The sequence below is a fragment of the Homo sapiens genome, chromosome 2 (assembly GCF_000001405.40).
Source record: "Homo sapiens chromosome 2, GRCh38.p14 Primary Assembly".
Lineage (NCBI taxonomy): Eukaryota > Metazoa > Chordata > Mammalia > Primates > Hominidae > Homo > Homo sapiens.
This window is the reverse complement of record NC_000002.12, coordinates 130,557,953-130,570,683: the sequence shown is the minus strand read 5'-3', so window position 1 is coordinate 130,570,683 and position 12,731 is coordinate 130,557,953. Positions and strand designations below refer to the sequence as shown.

The following is a 12,731-nucleotide window of genomic DNA, read 5'->3' as shown; positions in this document are numbered from 1 at the left end:
ACAGGGCCCCTCCCTCCAGGAAGTCCACTGTGCAGGGGAGACATGAAGGCAACTATGGCCCAAGCCCAGAAATATACAGTAATGATGAGAGGGCAAGTGCTTACATCACGTCATCAAGCATTTCCAGCTTGCTTTCCGAGTTCAACCCACTCCTCCATAAGGACGCCGGCTCAAGGGATTAGGTCAGGCCCACTAGGGACAATACAATATCCTTTTCTTAAACTCCAGCATACAACAGTCACGAGAGGGCTGTGCCATCTCAGTCACAGGTCCCTCCACACTCAACAGGAGGGTCATAGACAACAGCTGAGTGGCAGCGAGTCATCTTAGAATTCTACCTAACACAGCCCAACCTCCGGCCTCCAGTGACGCATGTCCCTCCCAATCCCCAAAATGCATTCAGCATACCTCAAGGTTACCAAGAGCCTCATCCTGTTACTGGAAAGGGGCCGATTCAGACATCAAGACAGGATTCTTGGATCTTGCAGAAGAAAGAGTTCGGGCGGGTCCATAAAGTGAAAGCAAGTTTATTAAGAAAGTAAAAGAATAAAAGAATGGCTACCCCATAGGCAGAGCAGTCCTGAGGGCTGCTGGTTGCCCATTTTTATGGTTATTTCTTGATTATATGCTAAACAAGGGGTGGATTATTCATGGGTTTTCAGGGAAAGGGATGGACAATTAACAGAACTGAGAGTTCCTCCCCCTTTTAGACCATGTAAGGTAACTTCCTGACCTTGCCGTGAACTGTCATGGCACTGGTGGGAGTGTCTCTTAGCATGCTAATGTATTATAACTAGTATATAATGAGCATTGAGGACCACCAGAAGTCACTCTCGTTGCCATCTTGGTTTTGGTGGGTTTTGGCCGGCTTCTTTACCCCAACCTATTTTATCAACAAGATTTTTATGACTTGTATCTTTTGCCTACCTCCTATCTCATCCTGTGACTTAGAATACCTAACCTCCTGGGGGCTGGCCACGGTGACTCACACCTGCAATCCCAGCACTTTGGGAGGCCGAGGCGGGCGGATCACCTGAGGTCAGGAGCTCGAGACCAGCCTGGCCAACATGGTGAAACCCCGTCTCTACTTAAAATACAAAAATTAGCCAGGCATGGTGGCGGGTGCCTGTAAGTCCCAGCTACTGGGGAGGCTGAGGCAGGAGAATAGCTTGGACCTGGGAGGCGGAGGCTGCGGTGAGCCGAGATCACACCACTGCACTCCAGCCTGGGTGACAGAGCTAGACTTTGTCTAAAAAAAAAAAAAAAAGGCCAGGCGCGGTGGCTCACGCCTGTAATCCCAGCACTTTGGGAGGCGGAGGCAGGCAGATCACAAAGTCAGTAGATTGAGACCATCCTAGCTAACACGGTGAAACCCCGTCTCTACTAAAAAATACAAAAAAATTAGCTGGGGGTGGTGGTGGGTGCCTGTAGTCCCAGCTACTTAGGAGACTGAGGCAGGAGAATGATGTGAACCCGGGAGGCGGAGCTTGCAGTGAGCCAAGACTGCGCCACTGCACTCCAGCCTGGGCAACAGAGCGGTGAGACTCCATCTCAAAAAAAAAAAAAAAAAAAAAAAAAAAATGCTTAACCTCCTGGGAATGCAGCCCAGTAGGTCTCAACCTCATTTTACCGGCCCCTATTCAAGATGGAATTGCTCTGGTTCGAACGCTTCTGGCAATCTCATTAGAGTCTCAACTTAAAATTCAAAATCTCATCATCTAAATCTAAATAGAATTATCTCATCAGCTCAAAATCCACAATCTCATCATTTAAATACTCCAAATAGAATATGGATGAGGTTCCCAGCTGTAATCTGCTAAACACAGCCCTTGAGTACAATTCTTCCTCACCTGTGGACCTATGAAATTAAAGAAACTTCCTACCCCAACATTCTGCACATACAATGACAAGATGGGCACAGCATAATGCTCAAAAGGAAGTTGGGGGAATGGACAGTGAAAAGCAGTTACTGGTCCGTAACAGCTTTTATATCCTTCTGGACAAACTCCATTAGGTTTCAAGGCCTGGGAGAAAATTCTCTGTGGCTCTCAGCTCTGGTCATCCTTCCTTTTTTATACAAAGTAGCACGTTTGCATCCAAGTAGTTCTATTGCCTTGCTTCCCGCAAGTGGAATTCTGGGGGCCTTCTTTCATGGTGTACTTTCCCTGTCCCTGTCAGTATGAGCTGGGAATGTTCTGCTGACATAAACATCTCAAGAACCTCATAGTCCTTGTAAGTGTGTTTCACCAGTTTCACTTCATTAGATAAAGTCACATGCACAATATTTTTGAGATAGTCCCTCCTCCACCTGGGCCTCCTGCTGAGATGGCAGCGGGCTTGGGGCCCTCTGTTGTGACTATACCTCAATGTCTTGAAAGGGCCCTTTGATCGACTGACTTTTCTGACCTCTTGGTCTTTCTGGGGTCTTAGCAGAACATTATAGTGTCGACCTTTTCTCTGTGCTGTGGTTTCAGTGACCATCTCTGACTTTTAGCATCTTTTGACATCTGGAGAGGCTAAGAATTTTCAAAACCCTCCAGTCCTGGTTCCTTTTGGTTTAGCAGTTCTTGCCTCAGTTTATCTCTCTTCCTTCACATTTTGCTATAAGTAGCAAGATGAAACCAGGTAGCACCTCAAAGCGTTGCTTAGAAATCTCCTAAGCCACATGAAACTGCCTTTGCAAAATTATAACTGTAAGAGAAATCTGACATAGTTGACTCCATCTTGCTTCTGACCTCCAAGCTGTCCTTGGTCATTCCTGGGGCTAAGCCAAGCTAACTTTGAGAAGAATTTAGTTTATAGTTTAATTTGAAAGCAAGGATAATAATAGCTCCTCCCGAAAACTAATCCCTTCCTTGCTCAGGGACTGAAAACCACCTTTGGTAAGACTAACGAAAGGCCACAAGAATAGGATTATGGGAGGGGACTAAATTCTGATAAGGTAGGCATAGTTTCTATAATCCCTTACAGCTCAGGAGTCAGATGGCCAGAGGTCACAAGATTTGTGACTCTTCCAATTGCTCCTGTAGATAATGTCACTATTGTAGAACCTAAGATCGTTTTTTTTTTTTTAGATTTTTCAGACTGACCCCACCTAGACTTGTGACTCATGACTCAAATGGCCCTGTGACCCCACCCAGAGGTGGACTCAGTGCACGGGAACCATTTTCCACACCTCTATAATTTCATCCCCAACCAATCAGCTGCACTTATTCCCTAACCCCCTGTCCATCAATTGTCCATAAAATCCCCTGGCTTCTGAGCCTTCAGGGAGACCAATTTGAGTGAGAATGCCAGTTCTCCTGTGTGAGCTGGGCTTGGTCAATGAAAGTCTTTCTCTACTGCAACAGCACAGTCTCAGTAGATTGATTTTGTCTGTGCAGCAGGCAGGAAGAACCTGTCTGGTGATATGTGATTACACATATGTGCAAACAGGCCCCTGAAAGTTTGCTCCCTACACAGCAGCTGGACACAATTTCTGCTGTGACGCCACCAGGACCTACCCCGTTTCCAGTGGCATACCCCCCACCTGGTGAGCTCTCAACCATGGAAGCCTTAAATTCTAGATTTCTATGCACAGTCTATCCGAGGAAATAGAGGCTTTCCCTAAGGTAGTTTAAGTTTTTTAAATGAGGTTCCTCAAAATATTTCCAGGCCCCATCCACTGCCCAGTTCCAAAACTACCGGCATATTTTTAAATGTTTCTTACAGCAGCACCTCATTCCTGGAACCAAAATTCCTATTAGTGTTCTGTTGCCGTGCAACAAATTGCCACAAACCTCGTGGCTTAAAACAACACAAATATATGACCATGCCATGCCCATGGGTGAGGAGTCTGGCATGGCCCAACTTGGTTCTCTGCTGAAGGTCTCATGCTCAAGGTGTCGACTGGCCACAAGTTCTCTGAAGGCTCTGCAGAAGAATTTGCCTTCCAGCCCATTTAGGTTGTTGGCAAAATTCCGTTTCTTGCAGTTGAATGACTGAGGCACTCATTTGCTTGTTGGGAGCCACTGTCGACTCCTGTAGGCCACTTGGCTGCTTCCCACAGGCCCTCTCACAATACCGCAGCTTTCTCCTTCAGGGGTAGCCTCAGGATCTCTTGCATCAAATCCTTCCTAGGCTTTGAATCTTTGACTTCTCCTGTTTGTGACCTCTAGACCCAGATACAAAGGACTCCCATGATTTGGTCTGAACTTTCAAGGACATCACCCTTCCTTAATCAATAATCTCCCTTTCTTAAAGTGCTATATGGTTAACACAGTCACAAGACTGATAGCCCATTATATTCACAGTCCCTCCCACCCTTGTGGGGAGGAATTACATAGGATGTGGGTTGTTGAGGGTTAGCTTAGAATTCTCCCTACCACAGTCTCCTATGAGACAGATTCTGCTAACGCAGACACGAGATGCAGAAAAGTAAATTGATAATTTCCTTTTTTTACTTTTTTATTTTTTATTTTTTTTGAGACAGAATCTTGCTCTGTCGCCCAGGCTGGAATGCAATGGCGCAGTCTCTGCTCACTGCATCCTCCACCTCCCGGACTCAAGCCATTCTCCTGCCTCAGCCTCCCAAGTAGCTGGGATTGTAGGCACATGCCACCACGCCCAGCTATATTTTGTATTTTTCGTAGAGATGGGATTTCTCTATGTCGGCCAAGCTGGTCTAGATCTCCTGACCTCAGGTGATCCGCCCACCTCAGCCTCCCAAACTGCTGGGATTACACGCATGAGCCACTGTGCCCAGCCCTTTTTTTTTTTTTTTTTAATAGTTTCACTCTTGTAGCCCAGACTGGGGTGCAATGGTGCAATCTCGGCTCACTGCAACCTCTGCTTCCTGGGTCCTGGGTTCAAGGCTGGTCTTGAACTCCTGACCTCATGTGATCCACCTACCTCGGCCTCCTAAAGTGCTGGGATTACAGGAGTGAACCACTGCACCTGACCAATTGATGATTTCAATGTACTGTGAAAAGAACCAGAATAAACACAGGCAAAAGAGTCTCAAGTTTACACATGGAACAATGGTGTATTTCTAACTTATCTACTTTTATCTACCCTTTAAAAAATACTTGATCTTTTTATACTCTCTGAACTGTTTCTTTTCTTTGTAAATCATACATCTGATAAAAGGTTAATATACAGAATATTTTCTTTTTAAACTTCTACAACTGAACAACAAGAATCAAAGAACCCAATTCAAAAACGGGCACAGGACTTGAATAGACATTTCTTTTTTCTTCTTCTTCTTCTTTTTGAGACAGAGTTTCACTGTTGTTGCCCAGGCTGGGGTGCAGTGGTGCGATCTTGGCTCACTGCAACCTCTGCCTCCCAGGTCCAAGCTATTCTCCTGCCTCAGCCTCCTGAGTAGCTAGGATTACAGGCGCCTGCCACCACGCCCAGTTAATTTTTTTTGTATTTTTAGTTGAGACGGGGTTTCACCATGTTGGTCAGGCTTGTCTTGAACTCCTGACCTCAGGTGATCCACCTGCCTCGGCCTCCTAAAGTGCTGGGATTACAGGCGTGAGCCACTGCACCCGGCTTTGAATAGACATTTCTCTAAAGAAGATATACAAATAGCCAATAGCATATGAAAAGATGCTCAACATCACTAATCATTAGGGAAATGCAAATGAAAACAATGAGATACTACTTCACATCCCTTGGGATGACTACCATTAAAAACACAGAAAATAAAAACCGTTGTTGAGGATGTAGAGAAACCGGAACCCTGCGCACTGCTGTTGGGAATCTGAAACGGTGCAGATGCTGTGAATGCCAGTTCCTCAAACAATTGAACATCAAGTTTAAAAATAAAACTTAAACTTCACTTAAAATTTAAACGTAAAATTATGGTAGTTCCTCAAAAAATTAAACAGAATTACCCTTTGGTCAGCAATTCCACTTCGGGGTATACACCCGGAAGAATTGAAAGCAGGGTCTCAAAGCGACAATTGTCTGCCTAGAAGCATCATTCACGAAGCCCAGAGGTGGAATCAACCCAAGCGTCCATCTGTAGATGAATGGATAAATAAAATGTGGTATAAACACTCAGTGGGATAGTATTCACCCTTGAAAAGGAATGAAATTCTGATGCATAGTACAACGGCTGAACTTTAAAGACATTAAGTGAAAGAAGGCAGCCACACCAGCACAGGCACTGTGGGGCTCCACTCCCATGAGGTGCCTCGAGAGGCCAGAGTCCTAGAAACAGGAAGTAGAATGGTGGGGGCTGGAGGGAGGGGAACAGGGAGTTCGTGTTGAATGGGGACAGAGCGTCAGTTTGGGAAGATAAAAAGGTCCTGGAGATGGACGGTGGTAATGGCTGCACAACAGTGTGAATGTACCTCATGCCACTGAACTGTACACTTAAGACTGGTTAAAATGACAAATTTATGTTATGTATATTTTACCACAATTTAAAAAATACTGGAAAAAAGTAATGTGTCCCTCCCCAATATAGCCAGAGGTGTAGAGGATGAGACTGAGAATTGTATAGGGAAGCTAGAGGGGGTGGGCAACGCAAGAAGTCTGAGGGTGGCCACAGAGGAGGCGCCCGGAGTGGGGTGCGGAGGTGTCACACAGGGTGGGTGACACTGGGCGGGGCCGAAACACACTAGGCGGGTGGGTGAGGACGAAGGTGGCCTGGCCCCAGGAAGCTGCAGGAACACTGTCTTCAGGGAGGTGAAAGGGGCTTTGGAGAGCTGGGGTGCTGGAATGCACTGCTAACCATCTGGGCTGTTCCTCAGGCATCCAGGGACCACACCTCCCACACCATGTCACCTCACAATCATGCGCATTGTCAGTTTGCAGATGAGGAGCCTGAAGCCAAGGAAAACCCACCTCATGTGGGGAGCATGGGCATGGGGAGCATGGGCGTGGGCAGGCCTGCTGGCCACCTGCCCCTCTGTGTCCTGCTGCTGGTCCTAAGCACGACCCCTCTTGCCTGGCCCAAGCTGCTCCCAAGTGAGCGCAGAAGAAAGATATTGTTCAGTCTGGATACGGGACAGGGTTGCCACAGTCACAAGCTGGGTGGGCCTACAGAGTAGGAGGTTCCCAGTGACAGCCTGTAGTGCGTGAGCAGAGGTGGGACTCCAGGCAGGCTGTGGGCACCCAGTGGGGCAAGTGCCCTGAAGCCTCACAGCCACCCCTGCACTCCCCCTCACAGACGAGGTGCCAGCATCACCCAGTGGCACAGTGACCTGCAGGCAGGTTCAGGGCAGCACTGGGCCTCAGCGGAAGGGCTCTGGTGACCAATGCCCTCACGGCCTCTCTCCACAGGCTCAAGGTGCCAAGGGGCTGTGCTCTCCCATGCCATGCCCTGCATGCCAGACCAGACAGCGCCTTCCTCTTCTCATTGCATTCTCACCACCAGATGGTTTTTCCTCTGTCTGTTTTCCAGGAATAAGTTGCTCTGAGCTTGCCACGAGGTGGCAGTGTTAAACTGTTTTATAAGGGCCTAATCAGCTTGTAGGCCCGGGACCTAAAATCACAGCCCCAAACCCTGGACTGGTACCTACTGTTCCCTCCATCAGCAGCCTCAGTTTACCTGTGGCTCCCGCATCCCCTCCAAGCCATCCACACCACCCCAGACCCGCAGGAGCATCCTGTTTCTCCTCCTCCCCTCGGGAGGGAAAGTTCACTCTTTCTGGGAATCCCTTTAGCGCTCAGTGGGGACTTTCGAGTTCCCCCCTCTCTTCCTCTGTGGGTCCCCGGGTGTGCCAACCACCTTTCTCACTGTATTCATCAGTGTTCTCCAGAGGCAGAGAACTAATAGGAGATATATATATATCTCCTATATATATATATAAAATATATAAAACATTTATATATATATATATATATATATATATAAAAGGGAATTTATTGAGAATTGACTCCTTTATTAAGGAGAATTGACTCACGTGATCACAAGGTGAAGTCCCATGATAGGCCATCTGCAAGCTGAGGATCACGGAAGCCAGTAGTGGCTTAGTCTGAGTCCAAAAACCTCAAAAGTAGGGAAGCCAACAGTGCAGCCTTAAGTCTGTGGCCGAAGGCCCGAGAACCCCTGGCAAACCACTGGTGTAGGTCCGAGAGTCCAAAAGCTGAAGAACTAGGAGCCTGATATGCAAGAGCGTGAAGCATTCAGCACGGAAGAAGGATGAAGGCCAGGAGACCCAGCAAGTCAGCTTCTTCCACCTTCTTCTGCCTGCTTTTTCTAGCCACACTGGCAGCCTACTGGATGGTGCTCACCCACATTACAGGTGGGTCTTCCTCTCCCAGTCCACTGACTCAAATGTTAATCTCTGCTGGCAACACCCAGAAACAGCCAGAAACAATACTTTGCATCCTTCAATCCAATCAAGTTGACACTTAATATTAACCACTAACCACCACACTCACCTTCCCCGCTGCTCTGCAAGCACTGTTGGGGCAGAGGCCACGTCTCACTTGTGTTGCTGACGGCATGGGCAGTGGGAGATGTTGCTCTCTGAGGCCTCTGTGACTGCCTCCTCCTCCCCAGCCATGGTGATGAGGCTGGAGGAAGGCAGTGACTGCCATTCCAGAGAGATGTTGTTGCAGGATCAGGAAGAACAGAGGGGCAGGGTTGAGAGGCGCCATCTCACACTGCGCACCCCTGTGCAGGGCCTCCCGTCTGAGACTGAGGTTGGTGTCACATGGTCCCCTGATGCCTTCAGATCATCTACAGGGGCACAGACTATGTTCCATTCTATGTTGAGAGTGAGGGGTGCCGCTACCCTGCCTGCATGTTGTCTGAGAGAGGAAAGTGCTCTTATTCTTTGGACATAGTTCCAGAGGACTCGGGTCACTGGTGTTGAAGGCAAAGCATCCCTTCCCTGTCTCAGCTATATTTGAAGAAACCTTCAGTGCCTGCCTTGACAGAGCAGGTTCCAGTAAGTGGCAGGTGAAGACACCTGGAGAAGTGAGGCTGTCCACTCCTGCTGGCATCAGATGTGCTGGTGCTACAGGGATGGTGACAACAGATGGCTGTCCTACCACATGACCAGGAGGGGAACACAGCTCCTTATGCTACCTACAACGCAACACATCTAGATCCAAACAAGAACCCGCCTCCTCCTCAGTGCCGAGGGTCCACCTCCAAAGTGGTGCCTGAATGAACTTAGCAAACCTCACAGCACTTGACGGGAGACCGGCCCACCCTGTAGGGCCTAGGCTCCTCTGAGGGTCCCGTGACCACTCCAGCAGGGCCTTCTCACACGCTGCTGGGGAGTGTAGGGTGGATGCTGTGGAGGGCAACACGGCGCATCTCGTACAGCTGACCATGTGATTCCTCCTGCTAGAGAAACATCCTAGGTGAACATTCAGACTCCACCTAGCAACCTTGTCACTGCCCTGCTTGTAAGACTGGAAAAAAGCAAAAACATCCATCAAGGAGCAGCGGAGAAATAAGTGGTGAGGTGCCCAGAGAAGGGAACGCTGTAGAGCATTTTCATAGAATGAACTAGGCCTGTGAATGGCAACAGCGTTGGCCCGGAAGGTGGGATGTTGAGTGGAAAATGCCAGCAGTAGAATGAAGCAACCATACCAAATATAGAATAAATGCTATATATAGTTCAGGGACCATGTATTTGCAGCAAAAGTTCAAAAATATGGGCAGGAGGAAGATACAGTAACTTCAGGGTGGATACTGTGCAGGGAGGGAGAGAATAGGCCAGAGGATGGTGACAAAGGGGTCTGTAACTGTATGTGAGAGGCTTTGCTGTGTTAAAAAATGTATACAATATGTAATATATGTTTACATGTAAATATATTTATATCTAGTTATATGTAACATAAAACGTTATATAAAAATAATTAGAAGCAGGCCAGACGCGGTGGCTCACACCTGTAATCCCAGCACTTTGGGAGGCCAAGGCAGGTGGGTCAGTTGAGGTCAGGAGTTCAAGACCAGCCTGGCCAACATGGCAAAACCCTGTTTCTACTAAAAATACAAAACTTAGCTGGGCGTGGTGGCACGCACCTGTAATCCCAACTACTTGGGAGGCTGAGGCAGGAGAATCGCTTGAACCCGGGAGGCGGAGGTTGCAGTGAACCAAGATTGCACCACTGCACTCCAGCCTGGGCGACAGAGCAAGACTCCGTCTCTAATAATAATAATAATAATAATAATAATAATAATTGGAAGCAAATATGGCAAAATGTGAACATTCGCTAATCCTGGATAGTGGGTCCATGAGTGTCTGCTAATCCTGGTCTGCATTTCTCAGTGTATTTCAAATACTGCACAGTGCTAGTAAAAGAACAAAGTGTTTGCTATAAATTATTTTTTTCTAGAGATGGAGTCTCACTCTGTCACCCAGGTTGGAGTCAACCCCAACCTCCTGGGCTCAAGCGATCCTCCTGCCTCAGCCTCCCAAGTAGCTGGGACTACAGGCATGCATCACCAGGCACGGCTAAGGTTTTAATTTTAAAAATTTTTTTGGAGAGACAGAGTCTCACTATGTTGTCCAGGCTATTCTCAGACTTATAACCTCAAACTTCTGGCCTCAAGTGATCCTCCTGCTTTGGGCTTCCAAAGTGCTGGGATTACAGGTGTGAACCGCTGTGCCCGGCCTTTTCAGTATATTTCAGATAGGTCACAGTGCTAATACAAGAGTGCTTACAAAGCGTTTGCTGTAAATTAATCTTTTTTTTTTTTTTAGACAAGTCTCACTCTGTTGCCAGGCTGGAGTGCAGTGGTGCAATCTCGGCTCACTGTAACCTTCGACACCCTGGTTCAAGTGATTCTCCTGCCTCGGCCTCCCGAGTAGCTGGGATTACAGGTGTGAGCCACCGCGTCTGGCCTGCTTCTAATTATTTTTATATAACGTTTTATGTTACATATAACTAGATATAAATATATTTACATGTAAACATATATTACATATTGTATACATTTTTTAACACAGCAAAGCCTCTCACATACAGTTACAGACCCCTTTGTCACCATCCTCTGGCCTATTCTCTCCCTCCCTGCACAGTATCCACCCTGAAGTTACTGTATCTTCCTCCTGCCCATATTTTTGAACTTTTGCTGCAAATACATGGTCCCTGAACTATATATAGCATTTATTCTATATTTGGTATGGTTGCTTCATTCTACTGCTGGCATTTTCCACTCAACATCCCACCTTCCGGGCCAACGCTGTTGCCATTCACAGGCCTAGTTCATTCTATGAAAATGCTCTACAGCGTTCCCTTCTCTGGGCACCTCACCACTTATTTCTCCGCTGCTCCTTGATGGATGTTTTTGCTTTTTTCCAGTCTTACAAGCAGGGCAGTGACAAGGTTGCTAGGTGGAGTCTGAATGTTCACCTAGGATGTTTCTCTAGCAGGAGGAATCACATGGTCAGCTGTACGAGATGCGCCGTGTTGCCCTCCACAGCATCCACCCTACACTCCCCAGCAGCGTGTGAGAAGGCCCTGCTGGAGTGGTCACGGGACCCTCAGAGGAGCCTAGGCCCTACAGGGTGGGCCGGTCTCCCGTCAAGTGCTGTGAGGTTTGCTAAGTTCATTCAGGCACCACTTTGGAGGTGGACCCTCGGCACTGAGGAGGAGGCGGGTTCTTGTTTGGATCTAGATGTGTTGCGTTGTAGGTAGCATAAGGAGCTGTGTTCCCCTCCTGGTCATGTGGTAGGACAGCCATCTGTTGTCACCATCCCTGTAGCACCAGCACATCTGATGCCAGCAGGAGTGGACAGCCTCACTTCTCCAGGTGTCTTCACCTGCCACTTACTGGAACCTGCTCTGTCAAGGCAGGCACTGAAGGTTTCTTCAAATATAGCTGAGACAGGGAAGGGATGCTTTGCCTTCAACACCAGTGACCCGAGTCCTCTGGAACTATGTCCAAAGAATAAGAGCACTTTCCTCTCTCAGACAACATGCAGGCAGGGTAGCGGCACCCCTCACTCTCAACATAGAATGGAACATAGTCTGTGCCCCTGTAGATGATCTGAAGGCATCAGGGGACCATGTGACACCAACCTCAGTCTCAGACGGGAGGCCCTGCACAGGGGTGCGCAGTGTGAGATGGCGCCTCTCAACCCTGCCCCTCTGTTCTTCCTGATCCTGCAACAACATCTCTCTGGAATGGCAGTCACTGCCTTCCTCCAGCCTCATCACCATGGCTGGGGAGGAGGAGGCAGTCACAGAGGCCTCAGAGAGCAACATCTCCCACTGCCCATGCCGTCAGCAACACAAGTGAGACGTGGCCTCTGCCCCAACAGTGCTTGCAGAGCAGCGGGGAAGGTGAGTGTGGTGGTTAGTGGTTAATATTAAGTGTCAACTTGATTGGATTGAAGGATGCAAAGTATTGTTTCTGGCTGTTTCTGGGTGTTGCCAGCAGAGATTAACATTTGAGTCAGTGGACTGGGAGAGGAAGACCCACCTGTAATGTGGGTGAGCACCATCCAGTAGGCTGCCAGTGTGGCTAGAAAAAGCAGGCAGAAGAAGGTGGAAGAAGCTGACTTGCTGGGTCTCCTGGCCTTCATCCTTCTTCCGTGCTGAATGCTTCACGCTCTTGCATATCAGGCTCCTAGTTCTTCAGCTTTTGGACTCTCGGACCTACACCAGTGGTTTGCCAGGGGTTCTCGGGCCTTCGGCCACAGACTTAAGGCTGCACTGTTGGCTTCCCTACTTTTGAGGTTTTTGGACTCAGACTAAGCCACTACTGGCTTCCGTGATCCTCAGCTTGCAGATGGCCTATCATGGGACTTCACCTTGTGATCACGTGA

The 12,731-nt window shown here is 48.2% G+C and overlaps 3 annotated features.

Moving 5' to 3' along the window:
• Positions 1,161 to 1,662: an enhancer, noted in NCBI's record as "H3K4me1 hESC enhancer chr2:131326595-131327096 (GRCh37/hg19 assembly coordinates)". NCBI's record gives its function as "activates a minimal SCP1, AML or CMV promoter by ChIP-STARR-seq in naive H9 embryonic stem cells {active_cell/tissue: H9 hESC(naive)}" and the evidence as "EXISTENCE:reporter gene assay evidence [ECO:0000049][PMID:30033119]".
• Positions 6,441 to 7,006: an enhancer, noted in NCBI's record as "H3K4me1 hESC enhancer chr2:131321251-131321816 (GRCh37/hg19 assembly coordinates)". NCBI's record gives its function as "activates a minimal SCP1, AML or CMV promoter by ChIP-STARR-seq in naive H9 embryonic stem cells {active_cell/tissue: H9 hESC(naive)}" and the evidence as "EXISTENCE:reporter gene assay evidence [ECO:0000049][PMID:30033119]".
• Positions 7,007 to 7,573: an enhancer, noted in NCBI's record as "H3K4me1 hESC enhancer chr2:131320684-131321250 (GRCh37/hg19 assembly coordinates)". NCBI's record gives its function as "activates a minimal SCP1, AML or CMV promoter by ChIP-STARR-seq in naive H9 embryonic stem cells {active_cell/tissue: H9 hESC(naive)}" and the evidence as "EXISTENCE:reporter gene assay evidence [ECO:0000049][PMID:30033119]".